The sequence below is a fragment of the Homo sapiens genome, chromosome 9, assembly GCF_000001405.40.
Source record: "Homo sapiens chromosome 9, GRCh38.p14 Primary Assembly".
NCBI lineage: Eukaryota > Metazoa > Chordata > Mammalia > Primates > Hominidae > Homo > Homo sapiens.
In genome coordinates this window covers 89,534,887-89,559,827 of record NC_000009.12, presented here as the reverse complement: position 1 = coordinate 89,559,827, position 24,941 = coordinate 89,534,887, and the positions used below count along the sequence as shown (strand labels likewise).

General features: G+C 47.3%; 1 long non-coding RNA gene across 1 annotated transcript, besides 14 other annotated features; it reads right to left on the bottom strand.

The window, feature by feature from the left end:
• Positions 79-248: an enhancer, noted in NCBI's record as "experimental_108686 CRE fragment used in MPRA reporter constructs". NCBI's record gives its function as "activates a minimal promoter by MPRAs in K562 erythroleukemia cells, with activity observed for both the introgressed and non-introgressed 9:92174580 variant alleles {active_cell/tissue: K562}" and the evidence as "EXISTENCE:reporter gene assay evidence [ECO:0000049][PMID:34662402]".
• On the bottom strand, positions 2,685-6,462 carry LOC124902207 (uncharacterized). The gene is made up of 2 exons (XR_007061655.1): positions 4,959-6,462; positions 2,685-4,324 (listed from the first exon to the last, which is right to left on the bottom strand). It is a non-coding gene; the product is annotated as an uncharacterized LOC124902207 (long non-coding RNA).
• Positions 6,026-6,115: an enhancer, noted in NCBI's record as "active region_28554". NCBI's record gives its function as "activates an Ori minimal core promoter by ATAC-STARR-seq in GM12878 lymphoblastoid cells {active_cell/tissue: GM12878}" and the evidence as "EXISTENCE:reporter gene assay evidence [ECO:0000049][PMID:35858748]".
• Positions 6,169-6,770: an enhancer, noted in NCBI's record as "NANOG-H3K27ac-H3K4me1 hESC enhancer chr9:92167973-92168574 (GRCh37/hg19 assembly coordinates)". NCBI's record gives its function as "activates a minimal SCP1, AML or CMV promoter by ChIP-STARR-seq in naive H9 embryonic stem cells {active_cell/tissue: H9 hESC(naive)}" and the evidence as "EXISTENCE:reporter gene assay evidence [ECO:0000049][PMID:30033119]".
• Positions 9,736-9,905: an enhancer, noted in NCBI's record as "experimental_108683 CRE fragment used in MPRA reporter constructs". NCBI's record gives its function as "activates a minimal promoter by MPRAs in K562 erythroleukemia cells, with activity observed for both the introgressed and non-introgressed 9:92164923 variant alleles {active_cell/tissue: K562}" and the evidence as "EXISTENCE:reporter gene assay evidence [ECO:0000049][PMID:34662402]".
• Positions 16,738-16,807: an enhancer, noted in NCBI's record as "active region_28553". NCBI's record gives its function as "activates an Ori minimal core promoter by ATAC-STARR-seq in GM12878 lymphoblastoid cells {active_cell/tissue: GM12878}" and the evidence as "EXISTENCE:reporter gene assay evidence [ECO:0000049][PMID:35858748]".
• Positions 16,988-17,127: a silencer, noted in NCBI's record as "silent region_20015". NCBI's record gives its function as "represses an Ori minimal core promoter by ATAC-STARR-seq in GM12878 lymphoblastoid cells {active_cell/tissue: GM12878}" and the evidence as "EXISTENCE:reporter gene assay evidence [ECO:0000049][PMID:35858748]".
• Positions 17,238-17,297: an enhancer, noted in NCBI's record as "active region_28552". NCBI's record gives its function as "activates an Ori minimal core promoter by ATAC-STARR-seq in GM12878 lymphoblastoid cells {active_cell/tissue: GM12878}" and the evidence as "EXISTENCE:reporter gene assay evidence [ECO:0000049][PMID:35858748]".
• Positions 17,803-17,852: an enhancer, noted in NCBI's record as "active region_28551". NCBI's record gives its function as "activates an Ori minimal core promoter by ATAC-STARR-seq in GM12878 lymphoblastoid cells {active_cell/tissue: GM12878}" and the evidence as "EXISTENCE:reporter gene assay evidence [ECO:0000049][PMID:35858748]".
• Positions 17,883-17,932: an enhancer, noted in NCBI's record as "active region_28550". NCBI's record gives its function as "activates an Ori minimal core promoter by ATAC-STARR-seq in GM12878 lymphoblastoid cells {active_cell/tissue: GM12878}" and the evidence as "EXISTENCE:reporter gene assay evidence [ECO:0000049][PMID:35858748]".
• Positions 20,067-20,236: an enhancer, noted in NCBI's record as "experimental_108676 CRE fragment used in MPRA reporter constructs". NCBI's record gives its function as "activates a minimal promoter by MPRAs in K562 erythroleukemia cells, with activity observed for the introgressed 9:92154592 variant allele {active_cell/tissue: K562}" and the evidence as "EXISTENCE:reporter gene assay evidence [ECO:0000049][PMID:34662402]".
• Positions 20,604-20,773: an enhancer, noted in NCBI's record as "experimental_108670 CRE fragment used in MPRA reporter constructs". NCBI's record gives its function as "activates a minimal promoter by MPRAs in K562 erythroleukemia cells, with activity observed for the non-introgressed 9:92154055 or rs62558383 variant allele {active_cell/tissue: K562}" and the evidence as "EXISTENCE:reporter gene assay evidence [ECO:0000049][PMID:34662402]".
• Position 20,688: a transcriptional cis regulatory region, noted in NCBI's record as "Neanderthal adaptively introgressed variant 9:92154055 (GRCh37/hg19 assembly coordinates) or rs62558383 in the experimental_108670 CRE". NCBI's record gives its function as "modulates activity of the experimental_108670 enhancer by MPRAs in K562 erythroleukemia cells {active_cell/tissue: K562}" and the evidence as "EXISTENCE:reporter gene assay evidence [ECO:0000049][PMID:34662402]".
• Positions 23,466-23,635: an enhancer, noted in NCBI's record as "experimental_108664 CRE fragment used in MPRA reporter constructs". NCBI's record gives its function as "activates a minimal promoter by MPRAs in K562 erythroleukemia cells, with activity observed for both the introgressed and non-introgressed 9:92151193 variant alleles {active_cell/tissue: K562}" and the evidence as "EXISTENCE:reporter gene assay evidence [ECO:0000049][PMID:34662402]".
• Positions 23,905-24,074: an enhancer, noted in NCBI's record as "experimental_108660 CRE fragment used in MPRA reporter constructs". NCBI's record gives its function as "activates a minimal promoter by MPRAs in K562 erythroleukemia cells, with activity observed for both the introgressed and non-introgressed 9:92150754 variant alleles {active_cell/tissue: K562}" and the evidence as "EXISTENCE:reporter gene assay evidence [ECO:0000049][PMID:34662402]".

Below are 24,941 nucleotides of genomic sequence, written 5' to 3'. Positions count from 1 at the left end.
TCGAGGCCTAGCAGCACCCCCAGCCTCACCTTGCACAATGTTCCCTCACACGCCACCCTCCCATTGCTCCAGTCCTGGCATCCCAGAGTCCCTTCCACCTCAGGGTCTTTACACATGCTGCTCCCTGCACCAGGAGCCCCACCTCTGCCCTCTGCCCCCACACACCTACCTCATCTAGCTGATTCCCCTCCTCTGGTAGAATTCAGAATTCGCTGGTCAGAGATTTCCCTGCCTTCCCAGATGAGGTCAAATCCCCTTGTAGAGCAATCTAATGGCTCCTATACTTATGGTTTAAAGCACTTTAATGATGAGAGCGTTGTTGTAGTTTAAGTAGTGAAGGGTATCATTCATTGCTTAGAGTGTCTTTTCCTAACAAGAATGGAAGCTCTAGGATAGCAGGTGTCTCATCTGTCTTGGACAACACCCAAACCAGTGCAGTACCTGGGACATAGTAGGAGGTAAATACATATTTGTTGAATAAATGAATGAGTTTAGAGGCTGATTCAAACAACATGAGTATCATAAGAGTATTAACACCTAACAAAGAAGGGTTTCCTCCATTCTAAACTCAGAGTAGTAGAAGCTGTGAATTAAATAATGTTTTGACTATCTGCTGTACACTTCATGTGGGATTTGCCGCAAGGACAGGGGAGGGGCCAGAGATAACAGCTTAGGTGGAGAGAACCTGCTGAGCAGCTGCCTGTGAATTGGAGAATGTAGCCAGTCCAAAGCTTTCCCCAAAAGCCTGGGTAGTGAGGGACGTTTGGCTGTTAACACCAGAGGCAAGAGCAAGCCTCTGCTGAAGGCAGGCTATGATCACAGGCCTTTAATATGCATTGCATTCAATAGAATCTTACACTTTTATACATTAGTGCAAAAGACTGAATGTGCCTCCTCTCCCCAAACCATATGTTGAAACCCTAACCTGAAATGTGATTGTATTAGGAGCAGAGCCTCTGGGAGGTGATTGGGTCATGAAGGTGGAGCCCTCATGAACAGGATTAGTGCCCTTATAAAAGAGGCCCCAGAGAATTCACTAGCTCTCTACTCTCCATCACATGAGGACACAGCAAGAAGGCATCATGGTAAACCAGACGCAGCCCTCACCAGACACCATACCTGCTGGTGCCTTGATCTTGGACTTCCCAGCCTCCAGAACTGTGAGAAATACATTTCTGTTGTCTATCAGCCACTCAGCCTATAGTATTTTATAGCATCCTGAACTAACACAGCGATACATACTGTACTGAGTTCAGAGGATATGATAGACTGTCTTGGATTTGCTTCAATGTGAACAGATATCTATAGGAAAAAAATAAACTTCGTCCCCTGCCTATACATACACAAAGAGAAATATGGAATGGATTACAAACCCAAAATAAAAACTAAAGCTATAAATCTTCTAGAAGAGAACATGTGCCAGCTTCACAGGAAAAAGCAAAAACCACAAGAGAAACTATTGGTAAGTCACTTTCATGAAAATATAAAACTATTATTCATTAAAATACACCATTTAGAAAATGAGGAGGCAAGCCACCTATCCGGAGAAAACGTCCAGGGTTGATTCGCATTACTGGTGGTAGTTACAGTCTGTGAAGTGCCTCTGTCCAGGGTTGATTCTCATTACTGGTGGTAGTTACAGTCCGTGAAATGCCTCAGCACCAATTTAGTGAACACCAAACCACGGTTCTTAGGGAAGGGAAGGTTCCTATGAGCCTCTGGTGATAGCATTGTCATCAACCCATCAATGCATAACCTTGTTTGATGTGTGTTTCTATTGAAAGATGCTTTATTTGATCAGCACTGTTGATTCCTTTACATTGAACTCGCAGCCAACACACTTGAATGAAGCTTCTCTAACACACCAGTTTTCTCCATAAGGCACAGCACAGCCTTCTTGCACTTTGGAGCCCCAGACAGCGCTTCAGCACCATGCCGGGGCTGTTACAAACTATGAGATCCCCAACAAAATGCACAGAAACGTGAAAAAATGGGGCACTAAATGGACCGTAAAAAGGACACTCACCGTCCCTGTGGGAGCTGCAGCAAGAAGGTGGGGAGTTGCCCTGTCCATCCCAGCTGGGGCCACACACATCAGACAACTCCAATGTCTCAGGGCTCTGTGTGTGCCCACAAATGGCCACAAAATCGTCCACAGTATTGACTTAGGGGTTATAAGTACATTTTATCAAGTAAATGAATTCAGAAATATGGAATCCACGAAGAATAAGGATCAACTATGACAAAGAATTGGCATCAAAAATATATAAAGGCTGGGTGTGGTGGCTCACTCCTGTAATCCCAGCACTTTGAGAGGACGAGGCAGGTGGATCACGAGGTCAGGAGTTTGTGACCAGGCTGACCAACATGGTGAAACCCTGTCTCTACTAAAAAATACAAAAATTAGCCAGGCGTGGTGGTGGGTGCCTGTAATCCCAGCTACTCGGGAGGCTGAGGCAGAAGAATACCTTGAACCCAGGAGGCGGAGGTTGCAGTGAGCCAAGATCATGCCATTGCTCTCCAGCCTGGGTGACAGAGTGAGACTCCATCTCAAAAAGCAACAACAAATTTATATATATATATATATATGTATGTATATATGTGTGTATGTATGTATGTGTGTGTGTGTATATATATATATATATATATATATATAGAAGTTATACAACTCAATAACAAAAAGACCAACAACGAATTTTTTTTAATGAGCAAAAGATTTGAACACATTCTTCACAAAGGAATGAACACCCTTGGCCAATAAGCACATGAAGAAAGGCTCAGCACGGTTCACCTACAGGAACGTGCAGATTCAAACCACATGAAGGTGCCACGGCACACCCACGAGAGTGACCGGAGTGTGAATGCGCAACAGCGCTCGGCATCGGTGAGGTTGTGGTGGGTTGGTGTAGGACCCCCACATGCGGTTATCGGGAATGGGAAATGGTCACTGCTCTCAAGAGACTTCCCAGCAATTTCCTGTACAAGGTACAAGTAAACATTAGTCACGTCTGATTGAGCAAGTCCACTCCTAGTGCTTACCCAAGAGAAATGGAAGTCCTCTCTCTCTCTCTCTCTCACACACACACACACACACACACACACAGACTTGCACACAAAGTTTCATAGCAGCTTTGTTCCCGGTAGCCCCACACTGGAAACAGCCCAAGTCCAGGGCAGTCTATGGTCTATGATCCCCTCCCCCTGGGCCACTGCAACCTGTGTTGCAGCTCACCCACCCTAGAGGGCAAAGGTGGGGAAGTGCTGGGTGCTGCCGGTGACATCACAACAGCGTCTGAGCTGGGGATGACACTCCCCCTCTGCAGAGTCAGAACACCCCCACCGGGCCAGCCAGTACCTTCCACGCCGGAAAGCACTCCACCTCCACTACCTCCCAGCTGACCTTCCAGGTGAGGGATGCCAGGCTGACCCCTGGTCCTGGAGCTGTCCACCCTTGTGCCTCATTCAAATCCCATCTGTCCTTCCAGGACCACCTCCTCCAGGAAGTCGACTCGCTGACCCCAAGCCACCTCTGACCTGCCCGTAGCAGGCATGCCTGCTCCCTCCTAATCATGTCTGTCCTGCACAGCTGGGGTTTCCTTGGTTTCATTTTAACTAACATTAACTGACCACATCTTAGGCCCCAGACTCTAAGCTAAACACTTGAAGTGCATTTCCTTATTTAATCCTCTCACAACCTGCCACATGGCATTAGGGTCCTTATCTTACAGAGGAGGAAGCTGAGGTGAAGGGAGGTAAGGCACACGTGTCCCTAGTCAGCCAGCTGTTTCATCAAGATTCAAACCCAAGTCAGGGAGGGAGGAGGAGCAGGTGCCCCAAGGGAAGGGGGAAGCTGCTGCCAGAACTGGGGTAGGGGCAGAGGCAGGTGGCATCAGGGGCTCTCAGCCAAACTCAGCTCCCCAGGGGGACAGAGGCACACCCGGAGGGCTTGGCGGGAACATCAGTAGCGTGCCCAAGGGCACCCACTTCCCAGGGCTACTCCTGCATGGGCAGGACACGCCAGCAACAGCAGCCTGGAGGAGTGGGGACCAGTGACCCTTCTTCAAATTGCCAGGCCTCAGTGTTCTTCGAAAACCCCAGAGGGGCCTGTGGTAGTCCTGGAAAGCCAAGAGCTGCTGGGCCAAACTTATTTGATCTCAAAAAGAGAAGAAATGTGTAATTTCCAGCCCTGAAAGGTTGTGGAGCACACCACAAACACCTGTCATAGCTGTGTGAGTATCTTTACTTTTCAGGCATGCACGGTTCATTTCGTTTCTTCACTGAGACTTGACGGAGGGCCTTGGTATGTCAGGAACATCTTTAGTGTCTGGGGAACAGAGGTGAAAAAGACATAAGGTGCCCACTTGTGCAACTGACACACAATAAACACAAACAAGAGAAATATCAGGGAGTAGCCACTGAAATGCAGAAAGTTAGGGAGTGAGTATCCTCGGGACACACCAGCTCCTATGGGTGGAACAGTACCCAGGGTGTCTTGGGGTTTCCACGTGAAGGAGCAGGGAAGTGCTCGGTGAGGTCCCTCAGGCTAGCAGGGCCTGTCCCGGGAAGTAGGAGGGCAGGGAACTGGGGAGGAGGCCAAAGGAGAGACCGGCAGATGCGGATGGCCTTGGAGTCCATTTCCAGCACCTTGGCAGGCTATCAGAGGGTTTCAGCAGGAGAATGGTAAGACTTGACTTGGGTTTTTCAAAAATCCCTGAGCATTTTCAAGAATGCCTGAGCTGTTTTAGAGACTGGATTTGGGAGTGGGGAGCACGAGTGGACTCAAGGGCCAGGTGGGGCCTCCTACAGTGTCCGGGGAGACAGAGGGTGGTGGCCCAGGGAAATGTGGGGACAGATGGGGTCCGGACACATTTCAGAGTTAGGGAACAAGATATACTGAGGGATTGGAGAGAGGAATCAAGGATGACTCCTGGGCAGAGGCGGAGTGGACGCCCACTCACCAGCGACTCAGGCTGAGCGGGGCTCTGCCCTCCTCGCCTCCCTGCAGCTTCTGGGTGGAGAGGCTCTTTCTCCCTGCTCTCCCCTTCTTTCCACTCTTCTGAAGACACAGCTCAGCTTGCATCTGGTTGCATGCAACAGAAATGGATTCTGGCCCACTTCCAGAAGAAAAGGATGTGATGGAAAGAAGTGGGTTGGGGTCAGGCTCAGAAACCCCAAGAGAAGCTCCTGGGGAAGGGAGGGGCTAGGGCTGCTGGGGTCCCTGAAGCAATTGCTGATGAAGGATCCCTTCTGCTGTGGAGGTAAATCTCCAGGAAAGGCCTGAAGTCCCCAGATGGCTTACTGGAAATCCACACTTCCCAGAAAGTCCAACTGGCCAAGCAGGATGTCCTGTTGTGACAGGACATTTCACCCACAGTCTCACTCACCAAGATTAACGGTGAGAAATGTCCTGTGCGAGAAGTCAGAAGAGGGAGCAGAGGCTGGGGCCACCAAAGCTCGCAATACAACCCGCTCTTGGCTCTATTTTCAGATGTTTTGGGTGTGAGTCCTGGCTCCAGAGCTGTGTGATGTGGCCAGACTACTTATCTTCCCTGTGCCTCAGTCCCCCATCTGAGAACATGGAGATAATAGCAATGTCTACTTGATAGAGATGTTATCAGAATTGAGTGTAAAATAGAAGAGTTTCTGGTATCAGATCAATGCTCAATACGTGTCCTTGTTATTACTAATTATTGTATAACTATGATTCCTCTTGGACAAGCAGGGACAGAGGATCTTAGGGGAAGGAAGCCAAGTAGGGGAGTCAGAGGCCACGTGAATTCCCTCAATGCAGAGGGTCCACCATGTGCCTGCTCAATGGGGAACTGACCCATGACTGTCTTTAGGGATGGGTGGGAACCTAGAATGCAAGTTCTCACTGAAACAATCTCTGGGCCAGTGAGTTTCTGGAGCAGCCAGCACACACCTGCCTAATTCGTGTTAGAGCTAAGCTCTACTTATTACAGCCCATTTCTGTGGTCAGCATTCTCAGGTGCTTCTGTGGCAAGATGCTCGCTCAGCACCTGCCACACAGTGGCAGAGAAGGTAAGAAACCTGGACTCGCACCACCCCCCAGAGCGGAAACAAGGCTCCCTGCCTCTCTGGTATCCCAGGGCTCCAAGCAGGAGTGCAGGGCTGGAGGAGGAGTGAGCAGGTCCCAAGGCTAGGGTGAAGAGGGCTTCCGGAGAAGTGGACAGCAGGGTAGGGGCTGCAGGAAGGACACAGGGCTGAAAGGGTGGCTGCAAGACAGCACAGGGCAGTGCAAAGAAGGAGATGGAGGCTGCCTGGGCTCCCTGGGAGGGAAGGAGATGGTGGTGGGGCGGGCCTGGGGGCAGCTGCAGCCCTGTCACACCTGTAGAGATGAACAAAGAAAACCACTTTAGTTTGTTAATGTTTGAAGGCGTCCTCAAGATGAAAAAGAGTTAAGAGTTACTATTAAATACTGTAATTACGCGTTTCAAAAGCCCTCAGAATAGGGAATGAGGAAAACAGCTCTACACATCACTGTGCATCTGCGTGCAGGTTAATGCCTGCTGACAAGGACATTTCCGCTCCTCATCTGGGAGCAGGCCTTGACTATAGTCATCCAGGTTCCCAGCTCACCTGGGCATATTAGCATATTAACCTAGGAGAGAGAAGAGACAGGGCTGGGGCCCCTTCTGGTGCAAGACAGAGAGATCCTTCTACAGCCTGCACCCTCATCTCAGAGGGACAGCCCGTCACCTTTGCCCTACGGGAGGAACTCACACAGCCAGCAGGGGACAGACCCTGGCCTGATCCCACCCCCTGCCCACTCTACCTGCCCCCTTTCCAGATCACCCCAGCTGAGAACATCTGCACTAAGGCCATGGCTTTAGTGCACATCGAAGAGCACCCGGGGGGAATACATTTCCAGAATACATTTCCTAAAAGATTGCACAGGTTACATACATCCCGTTGCAGTGACACAAAGTCCTGAGGTGGCAGGGTCCTGACTGTTCCCTGGACTCATGGCAGTGACCCCCAGTGGCCCACACCTTGTGTCATTCCCTTCCCTTCCATGTCAGCAGGACCTGAGGCTCACTTGTAACTGATAAAGCAATGCAGAGGGGACGGGCTGTCCCTCTGAGATTAGGAGCGGGATGTAGAAGGCTCCCTCCGGCTCACATCATCAGGAAGCTCCTCCAGGTGGCCTTGCAGAACAAGCTGTGCAGTGAACTGTCCACGGAGAAGACCGCCTGGCAGAGCGTTCTCCGGCCCACAACCAGTGAGAAGTTGATAAAAAGATCTTTCAAACAGCTTTATTCCCCTGAATTTGAAGTCAGAGATAAAAGACACAATCCTGCTGGGCACAGTGGCTCATGCCTGTAATCCCAGCACTTTGGGAGGCTGAGGAGGGTGGATCACAAGGTCAGGAGTTCAAGACCAGCCTGGTCAACACGGTGAAACCCTATCTCTTCTAAAAATACAAAAAAAAGAAATTAGCTGGGCATGGTGGCAAGTGCCTGTAATCCCAGCTACTCAGGAGGCTGAGGCAGAGAATTGCTTGAACCCCAAAGGCAAAAGTTGCAGTGAGTGGCGATCACGCCACTGCACTCCAGCCTGGGTGACAGAGCAAGATTCTGTCTCAAAAAAAAAAAAAAAAAGACACAGTCCTAGGAGAAACAAAATCTACCAAAACTGACCCACACACACAAATAGAATACATGAATAGCCCTTTACCTGATAAAGAAATGAAATATATAATTCAAAACCCTCCCACAAAGATTACTCCTTAAGAGATAAATTCTTCCAGAAAGTGGTAATAGAGGAAACAGTTCCCACTCAATTCATATGGCCTGCATGATTGTAATCCCTGAACCCAACAAGAATGTGAAGAGAAAGGAAAATTGCAGGCTGATCTCTCTTACAAACAAAGGCATAAAATCCCCAATAACATATTAGCAACCTGAATCCAGCAATTTATAAAACAGGGATAACAGATCATAACTAAATTGAACTTATTCCAAGAATGCAAAGTTGGTTGAATATTGAAAAATCAAAGTATATTGCCATATTAAACAGATAAATAATTTTTAATTATATAAAATCATTTTAATAAAGGCAGAAAAGTATTTGATAAAGTTCCAGCTATTCATTGAGAAATAAAAATAAAATCCTAAGCCCCACAACTGAGTGAATGGACCCTTTCTTGGCCAAGGGGACCCCAGGGTTAAAAACTTCAGTGTTATAAAGATGTCAATTATCTAGAAGTTGATCTGTAAATTCAATGTGATTCCAGTCAAATTTCCTGTGTGTGCGTGGGGTGGGGGGTGGGGGGAATGGGGTGTGTGTGTGTGTGTGTGTGTGTGTGTGTGTGTGTGTAAAAGCTGAGGGCCGGGTGCGGTGGCTCACACCTGTAATCCCAGCACTTTGGGAGGCCGAGGCCGGTGGATCGCGAGGTCAGGAGATTGAGACCATCCTGGCTAACATGGTGAAACTCTGTCTCTACTAAAAATACAAAAAATCAGCTGGGCGTGGTGGTGGGACCTGTAGTCCCAGCTACTCCGGAGGCTGAGGCAGGAGAATGGCATGAACCCGGGAGACAGAGCTTGCAGTGAGCCGAGATCACACCACTGCACTCCAGCCTGGGCGACAGAGCAAGACTCCATCTCAAAAAAAAAAAAAAAAACTGAGTTTCCGGCCATGACGGGATGAGAGGTCAGACCCACCTGAGTATGCCCCCTTCCTTATTAATCTTTAACCAGAATTATTTCCTAAGGAATAAGCAGAAACCAGCTCTGGAAAACAAGAAACAGACAATCATTAGCCAATCACCTCAGGCCTCAATCAAATGATCTCTTGCTTTTGTGCGTTCGACACAGCTGACAAACATCCCTTTCTGAAAACTGACCACCATCTCTTGACTAATTTGGGTCAATTTACGGAGAACTCTCAGTGAGAGTTTTTTTGTTCTCCATTTCACCTTTAGACATCAGAGAACCTAAAACTCCATCCTTGGATGGTGCTAACACTGCCCATTTTAAATATGTGACCAGTGAAGAGGTGTGAAGCTCAACTGTGTATTTTTACCTTTCATGAATATTCGTGACTCCTCCCATAGCGTGCTGAATATGCATACTTAGCCAGCCGGTTCAGCATGAATTCCTGACTTACTCTTCCCTCCCTCCAAGCACTTGCTCTCGGTGTGAAGGCTGTGCTTCCCAGCCTGCAGGATGGCCGATCTACGGGCTGCAACCCTTTATGAGAAATAAAGCTCTCCTTTCCAAATTGATGAACCTTGTGATTCTCTTCAGTTTGCATCATGTTTTTTTTTTTTTTTAGAAATCGTAGAAAAGTGGAAGTAGGACAGTTCCTTTAACTGATAAAGGGTAATCATAAATGTGTATTTAATGGTAAAATGTTGAAATCCTTTCTTCTGGGATTGGGAGGAAGACGGATGCCACTCTTGGCACTGGTGATCAGCACTGTGCAGAAGCCCATAGCCAGAGAATGGCAAGAAAAGGAATAAAGGGTGCAAGGATTGGAAAAGAAGAAATGAAACAATCAGTAACGTGAGTAGTACGATTGCCTAGGATGAAAATCCAAGAGGGTCGATGGGAAAATTGTTAGAATTTGAAAGTACGTGTAGCAAGTTTCCCAGATAAACATCAAAATTCAGAAATCAGTTATACATCTTCATACTAGCAACAAAGAGAGAATTATTTTAAAATATATCATTTATGATTATACCAAAAATATCAAATGCTTGGGAATAAACTTGATGAAAGATGTGCAAGAGTCTATACAGCAAAACATAAAACAACATTAAGAAATTTTCAAAAGACCTAAATAAATGAAGAGCTATACCATGTCTACGGATGAAAAACTTCAATGTTATAAACATGTCAATTCTCTAGAAGTTCATTCATAAATTCGGTGTGATTCCAGTTAAATTTCCATTATGTGTGTGTGTGTGTCATGTGTGTGTGTGAAACTTGACAAGCTGATTCTAAAATACATGAAAATGGAAGAGCCAGGACATTCAACAAGGTTGGAGGACTTGTTCTAGTGGACATCAATTTATGATATACGCTCAAGAATTAATCCAATGTGATATTGGCTCAAGGATAAAAAAGAAAATCAGCCAATGGAACAGACTAGAACACCCAGAATGATATCACAAAAATATGATAGTTGATTTCCGAGGAAGGTGGTCCCACAAAGTGGTGGGGTCTTTCCAAGGAGTCCTGTGGAAACACTGAGATCAGATATGACCCTTGGCCACTGCCTCCCACAATTCCAGGTACACTGAGAATCTATTTGTAAAAGGCAAAACCCTAGAGCTTTGGGTTACTTTTAGAAAGTAATGTAGAATGTCTTTGAGACTCGGCAAAGACTTCTTAATCTGGATGTAAAAAATTCTAACCATCAAAGAAAATACTGAGAAATAAATATTTCTCATAAATACTACATTGAAATGAAAAGTTGTATGTATCGAAAGAGACTATGAAGACAGCAAAATGGGCAAAACTAAATAGTAGTGTTTAGAGATGGTGCTGAGAGGGTAGGGTAATAAGGGAAGTGGGAGGGGATGACCGTTCCCAGCTGAGCAGCTGGAGGGGGATGAGGAGCTCGACAGGCAGGGGGCACCAGAGAGCAGGAGAGCTCTCGAGGCTGGCCACATGCAATTTCCTGAACTGAGTGGTGTTTATATGAAGGTTTGGTTTATAACAATTAACTAAGCCATAACTCATATGTTTTCTGAGCTTTTCTGAATAGGTAGCATATTTCACAACAGAAAGAAGTAAAAATACCTACATAAATATTTAATTATTTTAGAAATCCACTTGGACAGTTTAAGTGGATTGGTTTTTTGAAATGGATGGTAATGATATGTGAGCTGTGTATTTTTTTATTCATTATTTTTTGTGAGGAGACAGGGTTTCACTCTGTCACCCAGGCTGGAGGGCAATGGCATGATCTCGGCTCACCGCAGCCTCCACCTCCTAGGTTCAAGTGAGTCTCCTGCCTCAGCCTCCTGAGTAGCTGGGACTACAGGCATGCACCACCCCACACCCAGCTAATTTTTCTGCTTTTAGTAGAGACAAGGTTTTGCCATCTTGGCCAGGCTGGTCTCAAACTCCTGGCCTCAAGTGATCCGCCCGCCTCAGCTTCCCAAGGTGCAGGGATTATAGGCGTGAGCCACTGCACCTGGCCTGTGAGCTGTATTTTTTTTTTAAAAAGAAAAGGCTCTGCAGGAGCTCATGGAGGAGAATGTGCTGTTTCTTCAGGCCACCCTATTACACTCGGGAAAGGTGCTCATGCAGCAACTCAGATTCAGCACCTGCATTTAAAAGCCTCTTGCCTCATTTATGTCTGTCTGCCTGGTCTCTGCAACGACTTTGCTGAAATAAGCATCAGCTCATAAAGTCAAACATGCCTATTCATGACTGCTCCACCCTGCGCCGTGCAGACCGCGATGAGACACCCATGTGTCCTGGAGATACAGCTCAGCAAGACACAGTGACAGGGAAAGTCATCTGACGAGGGGAGTTCTTTTCCTTCATGTCTAATTCTTCCAGTCAGGTGGCAAAATAGTCAGTGAAGAGGAACAACACAAAATGAAAAATTCCATTCTGCACAGTGGAAAAATTCAGTGTTTTCAAGGACACTATGACCAAGCAGGCCAAAGGGTGCTGAGCAGAAGCAGAAGAGCCCGTGGGAGCTGGGAATAGCCAGGTTGGTGAACCAGTGGACACCCACGTCTCTGCATGGAGACCAGCCTTCTAGGAACTGGTCCAGTTGTTTACTGTTTGGGGCAGTCAGATGTCCCTGAAAGTAGCTCTAAAGCTGGGAATAAAGGTCCCAGAGCAAACTACTCAGTGAAGAACCCCCTGAAAAATTAACACAGAGAACAGCCTTGCTCAGCCCCTATGTGCAAAATGACTTGGTGAGCTTCAAGAGCAAGGGATTGCAAGGACTTGGCTGATGGTTCCATGATACTTTCATCATCTCCAAAAGCCCAGTGGCACACACAACCACAAGGCTCAAAGAACAAAGCCAACGTTTACTTGGCTCTGAGTTCAAATTATTTTCCAAGCATTGGGTAGAGGATGGAAAATAAATATTTAATTTTCCTTTATATTTTAAGGGAAATAAGCATTCATGAAAGTTACTAGAACCTGAGATAACAATGCATTACGGGCCAGGCACGGTGGTTCATTCCTGTAATCCCAGCACTTTAGGAGGCCAAGGCAAGTGGATCACCTGAGATCAAGAGTTTGAGACCAGCCTGACCAACATGGTGAAATCCCGTATCTACTAAAAATACAAAAAATTAGTTGGGCATGGTGGCAGGTGCCTGTAATCCCAGCTACTCAGGAGACTGAGGCAAGAGAATCACTTGAACCTGGGAGGCAGAGGTTGCAGTGAGCCGAGATTGTGCCATTGCACTCCAGCCTGAGCAACAAGAACAAAACTCCATCTCAAAAAAAAAAAAAATGCATTACATAGGGAAATCATTGTTTAGATTTCCCTTGCTATAGAAGAAACTGACATCATAGTTCCTTTTAAAGTGTAACCCTGAAAAAGACTGGCATCTGTAACAATTTAAAATATAAAAAAGAAACATATGTAACTTTTTTAAAAAGATATACAATAACAAGTGTTGGTGAGGATATGGGGCAACTAGAAACATCGCACATTGCTGATGAGAATGCAAATTGGTGCAGTCACTTTGGAAAACAGTTTGGTAGTTTCTCTGAAAAGTTAAATATAAACTTACTGTATGAGCCAGAAATTTCACTCCTGGGAATCTATCCCAAAAAAATAAAAACATTCATCCACACAAATATTTGTACATGAATGTTCATGGCTTCATTATTCATAATATTATTCGTAATGTACTTGTCAAGTCAAAGCAAAGGAAGGCATGTGCAAATTATAAGATGATTGTAATTATAAATTATAAAGTGATTATGATCTATTTAAAATATACTTTTTAACAAGGATACAAACATGGGAAGGGAAACTCCCCATTGATTTTAACTGAAGTGATACCCAAGAAGGAGGTGCTCCATGAATACGGATGGCAAAATCATATTTAGGAATATCAAAACATGATTTAGAAAATCAGACAGAAAATATACTGAAGAAGAGTTAAAATAAGTAAGCAACCATCTCTCTGGGGATAAATAATCTGAAAGCTGATATTTCATGGAAACGCTTGGGAACTTGTCTGGCCAATAAAATCTTGAGACGGCAATGGCTGTGGTGACATGACTGACTATGTTTTCTAGGAAATAAAGAAGAGTAGACTGACATATTCGGAAGAGAGGAGGAGTAAAGAAGGCAAGAAAAAGAAAGAAAGAAAGAAAGAGATAGAAAAAAAAGAAAGAAAGAAAGAAAGAAGGAAAGAAGGAAAGAAAGAAAGAAAGAAAGAAAGAAAGAAAGAAAGAAAGAAAGAAAGAAAGAAAGAAAGAAAGAAAGAGAAAGAAAGAAAAGACAGGTTTAAAAAGACAGAAAGAAAGGAGAGGAACGAGCACAGTGACTCACACCTGTAATCCCGGGACTTTGGGGGACTGAGGCAGGAAGATCACTTGAGGCCAGGAATCCGAGACCACTTTGGACAAAAGGACAAGACCCCATCTCTTCAAAAATAAAATAAAATAGCCAGGAGCAGTGGAGTGTGCCTGTGGTGCCAGCTACTCGGGAGGCTAAGGCAAGAGGACTGCTTAAGGCCAGAAGTTTGAGCCTGCAGTGAACTGTGATTGCACCACTGCACTCCAGCCTGGGCAACAACGCAAGACCCTGTCTCTTAAAAAATAAATAAATAAGAAGCAGAAGAGGAAAATGAAAAAAGAAAAATAAAATAAACGCTCTACAGAAGTTTGCAACAGCAAAATAAGTGATTGCAATAGCACAAGAGACAGCAGGGTTAAGGTAGATGGAATGATACTATATTCACATCTTATACTTTATGTGATGTGGCACACCATCACTTTATGTGGACTGTCTTTCCAGGATGCCATGTACAGGCATGCAAAGCCTTTGGTTGAAGGTAAGGATGCATATTCTAATTCTAATGTTTGTATCCCCTGTAGGTCTATTTCTATATTGGGTTGTTTCTGCTTGTTCTTATTAATGTTACCTTGTCTCCTCCTGTGTTTGACTAATTTCTATTCCAGACATTGTATTTGAAGTTATTTCTAGAAATACTTTGAGGCCTAAAAAATTTTCATGACTTCTGTAAGTCTCCTGGCCAAGAAGCAACCTGGAATTACCTAACTTTTTTTTTCAAAACTTGAGAGTTTCTGAGCCCCCAGATGTTTCAACACCAGGCCACAGTCTATTTAAAGTGGGCTTTGTTTTTGTTTTGTTTTGTTTTGTTTTGTCTTTACCTCTGATTCAATGTTACTCCAACAGTGTGGCCTTTTAGGGTTCCAGTCCAAAGCACAGGAGATCACCATGGGTACCCCCAGGCTCTGGCACTCCAAACTCCCCCCACATTCTTCCAGGATGTCAAATGCATTGCTGGAACACTCAGCCATCTCCATAGCAAAAGTGACCCAAGTTCCAGGCTCATGTCTCTGAACTTCTGTCTTCTCTTGCATCTCAGTCGTGGAATTCTTCACATCCTGGCTAGCTTTCTGATGCTTTCAAGCAAACTTTAAAACATACCTTTTCCAGCTTTCCTATTTGCCTTCAGCAGAAGAACTGGGTTGAATTACTTAGTGTAGCATTGTCAGAAAGTCTCCAAATCAAATCTTAATGTTTTAAATATTGGGGGTCTGTGATGGCAGAAAAACACCCACATGAAGAGATAATAGAGTTTAATTAGTAAATATAAATTAATAATATGTTTTAATACACATAAATGTAAGTTAGTAAATATGTGCTTTGGACTGGAACCCCAAAAGGCTACACTGTTGGAGTAACATTGAATCAGAGGTAAAGACAAAACAAAACAAAACAAAATCTAGGCTGATAGTGCAGATGTATTTATTCATTGATTCATTCATTTATTCAACCTCTCACTATGAGCCAGGTAGAGTTCAAGGGATTTAGAGTATATCAGTGAACAAAACAGTTGAGGACGCTCTCACGACTGCATGTCACTGGGACAGGACATAACCTGTACAATCACCTTTAAAAGGTACTTTGGATGTGTTCTCCAAGACACAGACTCACATGCATGCTTCCTAAGTGCACTAAAGCTATGACCAGAGCGCAGGTGTCTCCAGCTGTGTGATCTGGAGAGGGAGGCAGGTAGGAAGGGGGCAGGGCTGGGGGCAGGCTGGGCTCTGTCCCTGCAGCTGTGGCAATCCCTTCTGCACTGGTGAGGAGCAGCCCAGCCCTGTCTCTTTTCCCTCCTTGGTTAATATGCTAATGTGTCCAGGTGTGCTGGGAGCCTGGCTGGCTTAGGAGGTTGGCAGACCCTGTCGAATGCCTGCCCTCACAGGCTCCATGAGAATGCTCCGTGCTTTCAGCAGGAAGTGTTACTCTACACTCACATGCCAAGGGGCCACCCTCTCCGACTCATCAACTCGCTCTCCCAAGGGTTTTTTGGAACACAGGTATTGCCTTCAGCAGCAACCCTGAGCTTTCTCCATCTTGAAAATTTCTTCAAATGTTCATAGGCTGTAGCAGTTCCGTTGTTCATGCTCTCTTCGGTGAGATCAAAGGGCATGTGATTGGCCAGAAGTGGGGAAAGAAGCTCTCAGTCCCTGAGGAGCTCCAGGTGGCTGACTGCCCTCAATGTCCCCATGTGCCATGGCCCAGCCAAGAGCATATTCTCTTGGTGATATCAGTTGAGTCCATGGGCAGGCCGCCTGCTGTCTCCTCTGCAGCTCCCTCCCATCCTGTCCTCCAAGAATCTCCCCCTCAGTCCTGCCTGCTGTGCCTGTGTGTCTTTAACTGTGCCCTGGGTATTACTTGAAAACCTGCTTGTAGACACGCTCAGAGGCCGAAGATAATAACACTTTCCTGAAGAGAGGACTTGTCTGTGCCTCTGTGCTGGCCTTGGTTCAGTTTCAGGGACTGCGATGGTCCGGGCCGCGCAGGCGACAGAGAGCTGGGTTGCAGGCGTGGAGCGGACCCTTGACTTAGTGAACTTTTGGAGTTCTTTTTCTGCACCCACCAGCCTTCGACCAGGTCTGGTTACTGCTGACTCCAGGATTCAAGGCCACGGTGGAAAAGCAGATCCAAGGGCTAGATGAGCTTCCTGGGTTCCAACCTTCTTCCAGACCTTGGCTGGGTGATTTTTCACCAACCTGATCACTTTCTGATGCCCTGGAGCAGCACACCGTATTTTATATTGTGTGAGCTTTTCTAGTTCTCCTCTGTAGGACAGTTGATCTAAATTACTGCATCCACCACTATCAGAGGCAGAAGCTCTATGTTCTTTATGGAGAAAGCTTTCAAATAATGCAGAAGCGTGCCCACAGGAAAAGTGAACATTGGCCCTTCCGGCTCACTGCCAACCCATTTCTATGGGGAGCAGCTGCTGCAGTTGGTATGGAGTCTCTGTGTGTGCATACATGCATAGGTTTTTATTCCTCGACTGAACAATCTCCTCACCATGGGAGGACCAGGGGGCGTGACAGCTCCACTCTGGGAGTTGCTGCTCCCTGACGACCATCAGCACTCCCGGCCTCTCTCAGGACCGTCCCGTGTGGCTCGCCATCCCAGGTGGCCCTGCCCCCACCCCTTCTCCAGAGGATCTGGCAGCTGTATTTTCATTCCAAGGTACCTGACCTAAAAGTGTATTGGCCGCATGTTGGCATCTGTCCTGACACAGGGAAATCTGTCAGGGGAGAAACAGACTTGTCCACACTGCGTGATCATCCTCTGTGTTGTGCCATTTTGGTTGCTGAGGACAGGAAGGCAGGCAGACGTGCCGCCTCCACGGGGATTTTTATAGCAAGGCCTGAGGGCTCCAACGCCTCTTCGGCTGGCTGAGGCATGCAGAGGGATTTCCAGGCACAGTGTGTTTTCCAGTGCATGAACAGGAGCAAGTGCTGCCTGAGATGGGCGGCCAGCAATAGTGGGAGCCTGTCACGCCCTGTACACCTGCATCCTGTCTGGTCCCCGTTTTAACAAGCACAAGTATTAATGGCTTGGCCTTAGCAGGTGCCCTGGGAGGCTGGGGCAGGTTGAGGTCTGAGCAGTGCAGCCAGCCTGTCACCTGACTCACAGCCCCCATCAGCTCTGCTTTCAGAGCAGGGACAGTGGCTGTCACACACATCGCAGAGCACAGGCCAGCACTGTCTAGCTCTTGGGGCCCTCAAGGCTTACAGCAACAATAGAATTGTCTCTTCACTTAGGATGGATTTGTGCCCGTTTCTCTCTCCATCTCCAGACACGCTGGAAACACACACATCAAACAGGGCCAACTGAGCCTTCTGTCCCCATCTTCACTACTGAAAGAGCTTTTCAGCTGACTTTTAAAAAAAATTCTTCACTATCACACACATGCATTCACACATTTTTTGCGGATCTGGAGAAGTGTTGGCCGTATGTAGCTGTAATTTGAGAGAAGGATATCAAAACACAAGTCCATGGTTTTCTCCGTATTGCCTCATGACAAATTATGTGTTACACATATTTTGTGAACTTCCTTAAATCCTTCCTGGAATGAAACAGGTGTCTTAGTCTGCAATCCTCCAAAAGCAGGCCCTGATGCAGGTAGCTTTTTGGAAGGTGGGTCCAAGAAGCACAAGTGAGGGATTAGGGGGCTGAGCCAGGGAGAGGTGAATGGCTTCCAGGATGCATTCATGGGCAGGTGACTGTGGGTGATTGGCCTCAGTCCCACCACAGATGCTCTGAGGACCTGCATGGAGAACTCCACTGAATTGTCCCTGTGGGTGACAAGCAGCCTGCCCAGGGTAGCCAACTGCCCTGCACTTCCCTGTCACACCAGCCTGCATGGGACGTCCCCGGGGACCAGAAAAGCTCTCAAGCAAAGAGACTGCTGCTGTGCTGAGATGCGATGCTGCCCACCTGCTGCAGCTGTAGAACCCAGGCAGGTTGCAGGGATTTGGGGAGGGGGACCAGCAACATTGGTTTGCTGGGCTGTATAGAAAGAAATGAGACCACAAATCAAAGAGCCTTTGAAATGACCTGTTTGTTTAAGTATGTGAGTAATTGACCCCAGTCTTGTCTCCGGGCCACGGTAAGGGCATTCAGGAAGTCCCTCCTCACATTCATACCATCGGGTGAGAAGAAGGCAGGGCTCGCCTCCAGCAGGGTCTGCTGTCAAGCAGGGGGTCTTCAGGTGTCTGGGAAGATGGGCTCCAGGGGCAAAGGCAGCAGCCACCCCCTGCACAGTGAGAGATGGGAAAGGGTAAGATGACCTCCTCCGAGAGAAGCAAGACAACTCTAGCCAAGAAAGGAATCCACAGCCTCTCCCTTCTGTGGCGTCAAGGTTGGCAGGTGTGAAGGGGGGCTCTCAAAATATTAGAGTGTTAAGACAGACTTCCAGTTAAAAAGTCGTAGGATAACCATGGGCTCCCTCTCCAAATGTCCCTAAAATAAGCATACAGGACAAAAAGATAAAAACCTACCTATACCCAAGCAAGGACATGGATTCAAATATGTGAAGAACTCCTGCAAGTCAGTAAGAAAAGGGCAGACATGCTAATAGAAAAATGGGCAAAATATTTGGATAGTGCAATGGGTATTTTTATGGGTCCACTTGACTGAACCTCAGGGTGCCCAGATATGTGGTCAGGCATTATTTCCAGGTGTGTCTGTGAGGGTGTCTGGAAGAGTATTTAAATTGGTGGACTGAGGAATGCAGGTGGCCCTCCCCAGTGTGGGTGGGCAGCATCCAATCCATTGAAAGCCCAAATGGAACAAAAAGGTGGAGGAAGGTTGAATTTGCTCTGCCTGCTTGAGCTGGGACATCAATCTTTTCCTGTTCTCAGTGCTCCTGGTTCTCAGGCCTTCAGAATCTTCTGAAATTCCTTCTGGAATCTAAACCATCAGCTCTCAGGCCCTCAAACCATACCATCAGCTTTCCTGGGTCACCAGCTTGCAGATGACAGATTGTGGGATTTATCAACCCCCATAATTGTGCAAGCCAGTTCCTTATAATAAATTTCTTGTAAAAGACTTGTACGAGGCTGTTCAGAGTACAACTGCACATAATCGCTACAAACTGAAGCAATTCAAATTCCACCCTCAGTAGAATAGATAAGATATATTGAAATACAAAAATATAATCACATATTAGGTAAATTATATATTATTAATTATATATAAACCATGTATATAAATTATGTACAATATATGCATGAATAAATTATATATTATATAGAATATATGATATATTACACAGCTATATCATTACATTGTGTTGTATAATACATAAATATATTATTATACATATCTATATATTTAAGTGACACTTATATCATGCACATGGCATATTACAGAATGGAATCCAATGTGGCAATAAGAATGGATGGACCATGCTCATGAGCACCTGGGTGAATCTTACAGCATGGACATAGCATGGTGTTGGAGGTGAGTCAGACACAGAAGGGACACTGTGATCCAGAGACAGAATCAGAAACCAGCCACACTAAGCTCGGTGGCCACACTCTGCCACCCTGAGTGTCTTCAGGCTCATTCTCAGGAGGAGTTAAACTGCAGGAATGGGCCAGGGCCTGCTTGTTCTCCTCCCAAGTCTCTGGTTCTATTTGGCTTTTTCAGCTCTGTGCATCCATTACCTTGGTGAAAATAAACATTAGTTTAAAAAAAAAAACTAAGTAAATCAACTCAGGCAGTGCAGGATGCCCAAGGAGCATTTGAACAGAGCTGTCTATGTGTCAGGCAGCCCCAGGGAAGACCCAGGGAAAGCAGCCCTCGTGGGTAGGGCTGGGGCAGAGGACACCCTCCCAGGCACCCACGCTGCAGGGGCTGTGGGTGCTGCCACTGCCCTTATGTGGGTCCCGTCCTTTAAACCTCATTTTCAGAGCTCAAATGAGGGAGCCTGGCAAGACGTACCTAGAGATGCACGTGTCAGCCAAGGGGCCACTCTGGGAACTCAGTCTCCTGGGAGGCTTGAGGACATGAAGTTTATGTTTTCACAGAAAAAGGAGAATCAAGCTCTTCCCCAACAGACACAGGCACACATATGCAAGCACACATACCCACAGACATGCACACACACACGCATACATGAAGAGGCATGTCGACACACGTGTATGCATACATGTGAGCAAACATGGACGCAGGCCCACATGTGTGCGTGCTCATACACACATGCACAAACTCAGACACACAGCACATGCAGGCACATACACATGCCCATGTGCACACACGCTGGCTGCACCATGCATGTACTCTAAGGGGCAACGTGGTGGTGAGGTATTGCAGTGACCACGGCAGAGCAAAGAGGAGGGAGAGAAACTGGTGACCCAGGTCCTGAGCAGGGCAGGGTGCTGTGTGGCACTGCCCTTCCCTCTAAGACATCATCCTTTCTGGTTCACCGAGGGGACAATGGAGGCCCCTCAAAGTGACCTCAGGCCTTAGCTCAACCCCAACAGCTAAGAGGACTGGAGACCAACACAGCACTTTCTCATCTTTCTTCCCCTGCACGCTGTCTAACCAGCCTCTGTCCCCACGACACCAGCTCCTGCATGCCAATGCCCACCCCTGTGGTCCACCAGAGCAAGGAGAGGCAGCCAGGGAAGGAAGGTGGTAGGTGACAAGGACAGGCAGCTGCCTGGCGTTGGCAGGCAAGACGGGGACAGGAGCCACCCTGCCCCACCCACCTGCCTTTCATTACCAGGTAAACATCTGCCTCACTTGACACCCCACTTCAACCTCAGCAGCTGTGAGGCACCAAGAACCTTAGAAAGCCAGGGCCCTGCCAACAAAAAGGGCTTGTCATTACAGAGCCCGTCCCTCTGCTGGTGACCTGCAGACACCGGGTGGTCCCTGCACCTTCCCCGCTCGCTCAGGGAAGCCCTCGCCCCCATGCCCATCACCCCACTGCACACACTGAGGCTCAGGCTCCCCAAAAGGCATGCGAGGGAGCACCCCAGTTGGTGGAACGGAGCCTAAAAGAGTATCCACCCGGTCACTCAGCCATCTCTGACCACAGCTCCCCACCACAGGATCCCATCCCCTAAGGCTTTCCCTGCCACCAGGGCCCTGCTCTTCTTGGGGCCTCACACTCACCCTTTGGAGTGTAGAAGGGACCAGCAAGCCTAAGTGGGAGAGTCTGCATAGAGGGAGCCCCGCTGGACATAGGCCCACATATGCATCTGGACATAGGCCCACCTATGCATCTGGACAGAGGTCCATGTGTGCATCTGGACACAGGCCTATGTACGCACCTGGACATAGGCCCACATATGTGTCTGGACACAGGCCCCACGTATGCACCTGAACACAGGCCCATGTATGCACCTAGACATAGGCCCATGCATGCATCTGGGCCCTCCTTGCGGCAAATATAGCATCATTGCCATTTAAGGATCCAAGAACTGGAAATGACAATTGCTCCAGAATTTGCCAAGAGACTGGAAAGGAGATCAAGGCTCAGCTCTGCCTGCAAAGCCCATTACCCCAGGGATGAGGAAGGCAGTGCTGCAGGCTTGCCGGTGGGTCTCAGGACAGTTTTCCCTTATTTTATAGGTCAATCTACTCCTCAGGAGGCTACTGCCAGACACTCAGTGTTACATCAATGCTGTGTAATAATACTAGCCAGGAGAGACCAGACTCACTGTGCCTGCAGGCTGGGCCCAACAAACAGGCTCACAGGGCCGTGGAGCAGGGATTGCTTTAAAAGGAGCAGTGTGTACAGGGAGTGGGGATGCTGAGGGTGTTTTTGCACACCTACTACACTCAGGAAAGTGTCTTGTGGGATGAGACAGGAAAATCTAAGACCTCTGCCTCCGAAGAGCTTCACGTCTAGGAGAAGGCAAGGCCCTCAGGCACAAGATAACAGCAGCAACCAACCTGGGCCCAAACTGGCAGCTCCTGGTTACTTGAGGAGTCCCAGCTCCCTTGGGCTCGCAATGGCTGTAGGCGAGGGGCTGCTCCTGTCAGGTCCCTGCAGCTACCTGCACAAGGTCCTGTGCATCTTGGTGCTTGATGTTGGCTGAATTTAGCAAGATAGTCTCATTTGGTTCCAAATGGCCCATCCCTGTTAATGACCACTCCCAGAGGGCTCTGAGACGCCACTACTAACTATGAAATTCATAGTTCAAGGACAAAAACAGGTGTCCATGTGGAACGCTCTGAGCACGAGGGTTGAGAGCCAGTTTCCATCTTGGTCATGAGCCACTGCAATGTTAGGAACCAAGTAAAAAGGTATGCCCAAGTTATTTTTCCTGCCATAGATTATAAATGACATCAGGGCATGGAAACACATTGTGTGCTTTCAGAAGAGCAGGAATTGCATTTTCTTCCCCCTCAACATGATAAATCCCATAATAAAGAACAGCCGGCCCTGAGTAACAGCCTGGAGGAATCTGGTTGCCAGGCATAACCCAACGACATGTGTCTTTCTGGTCTTGATCAAATGTCACTTATTTACAACAAAACTACCCGGGCTTCTCCTGGGCTCTGAAGACAGGAAGCCAAGGGAGCGCCTGGATTATGGCTCAGCACTCTGCAAAGGCCTGTCCTGCCCTTGACATAGCAGCAACTCTAAAGAGCTTTCTCCTGGTTGGGCACCTCACTGGGAACAGTCCCCAGACGCCCTTCCAGCAGGCACACTGAGCCAAAGCAAAGGCCCAGCGGCCATCAGCATCACCTTCCTGCATCAAAGGTCTCGCTGGTCACTTGCTGATGTTCTCTACGGAGACTCCATGAGCCTTCTGAAGCCCATATGGGGAGGCACAGCCTGCAGGGCACTCGGCTTCCAGATTAATTGGAAATCAGGCGCAGAAATGATCACAGAACTGAGATGAGCTCTCCCCACTGTCCTGGGTCAGGGTGGAAAGGCTGCCAGGCTGTACCCTGCCTTCATGGTGGAGGGGCAGTGAAATCAACACAACCCAACCAGAAGAGGAGGCCCGCCACCTACACGCTGGCTGCCTGGGGACAGACAGCTCAAGCCAGTGAGCCTCAGCCTACACACTGATAAGAACAGTTACCAGTTTTCAGAGAACTGTTGAACACATCAGATAAGGTAACTAATAAGGTCCTGGACCATGCATAAGTCAATATACAGTAGACATTTCCCAAACGTCTTTTCTTATATTGCTTTCCTTATTTAAAACATGCATATACACATATGTATATATGTGTGGTTTTACATATATATATATTCATTGTAAGAAAAAAAAAGTAAAAGGCAAACACAGAGAAGCAAAAACAAAAGAGAAAGAAGAGAGAGGAAAAAAAGGAGACCACTTTGTGTTCTCACCTCCCACATCTAACCGTTTCTAGCAAGTTTGTCCACTTCCTTCCTGCCTTTTCTCTGCACATAGACACACCTACATATGTGAGGGGTGATGTGTGCTCCAACTTCCATATTTTCATGTAATATTATGCCATGGATAGCTTTGGATGCCATTACGTCTTACTCTCCAGTGTTACGTTAAATGCCTGTATTTTAAATCCATTTGCTACGGATGCACCCAAGCAACTTAGCTCACACCAGTGCCGGGATCCCCTTTTCTTTTCCTGTTTGTTCACTCTGAGACCCATCTTTCAAAATCACCTTCTATCTGATGAAATCACACTGTGCACTCAGAACTTTACTCAGATGATTGAGTAGTTTGTTTTATTTTGCTTGTGATTTTTTAATTCCTTCTTCTGAAATTGTAACACCAAATGGGATAAATAATAATGTCCTGGAAATTGTATATGGATTCCTCCACAACTGAGAGCACTCTCCTTCCTGCACGCTCGTCAGGCCTGCTTCATGGGGTCCCAAGGATATCTCCCAGACCTGCTATCTCCCACCCTCTCCCCCTTCCTCTTGGCCCCACTTGGGACCTCAGACCTCCTCAGGACCCTGCACTTGTCTTTGGGTTCTTTAAAGTCAATCACTTTATGACATCCTCAGCCCCTGGAGGTGGTGCCCTCCTTCAAGGACTTTCCTTCCTGGTGGCTGAAGGACAATTGGTGCCTCTCCTCACCTGCTGGCCATTTGTGACCCCCCTGGCAGGTGTGGGTGTCCATAGAGCTGAGACAACCAGGGGTCCCTGGGGGCTCAGAGGGTGTGAAGCAGGGCAAGGTCTCGCTGCCATGGGGCACCATGAGCACATCCTATACCTGAGGGCAAGGTGAGGCAAGGCCAGAATGCCAGCGCAGCCCCAAGTGTGCCAGGTGGAACTTGACAGCTGTCAACAGAACAACAGTTGTGCGGAAACTGGGACATTTATCACATTTCCACTTGCCTGACAAGGTAAAGACTGCAATTTTTCATCTAAAAAGGAAATTAGAACTCATTGCCTTGATTAAATATTCTGCACTTATTTACACCCACAACCCCAATAAAACTCAGACACACACAGGGTCCTACACACACACACACACAGCCTTATACACTTGTACACACACAGCCCTAAACACACACCAAACCTACAGCTCTACACACATGCACACACACACAGCCCTACACACACACAGGCCTATACACATACACACACACAGAGTTCTATACACACACACACCACCCTACACACATACACACACAGTCCTACACACACACGCAGCCCTACACACACACGCCTACACACACACACAGAGCCCTACACACATACACACACACAGCCCTACACACATACACACACACAGCCCTACACACACAGCCCTACACACACACACACAGCCCTACACACGCACACACACAGCCCTACACATACACACACAGCCCTACACACATACACACAGCCCTACATACATGTACTCACAGTCTCACACACAGCTTTCCATGCGCAGGTATGTGTGTACACCCTAGAACTGTGTGAGCAGGAGTGTGGTGCGCAAAAGGCAATGGTTTTTCCATCTCCCAT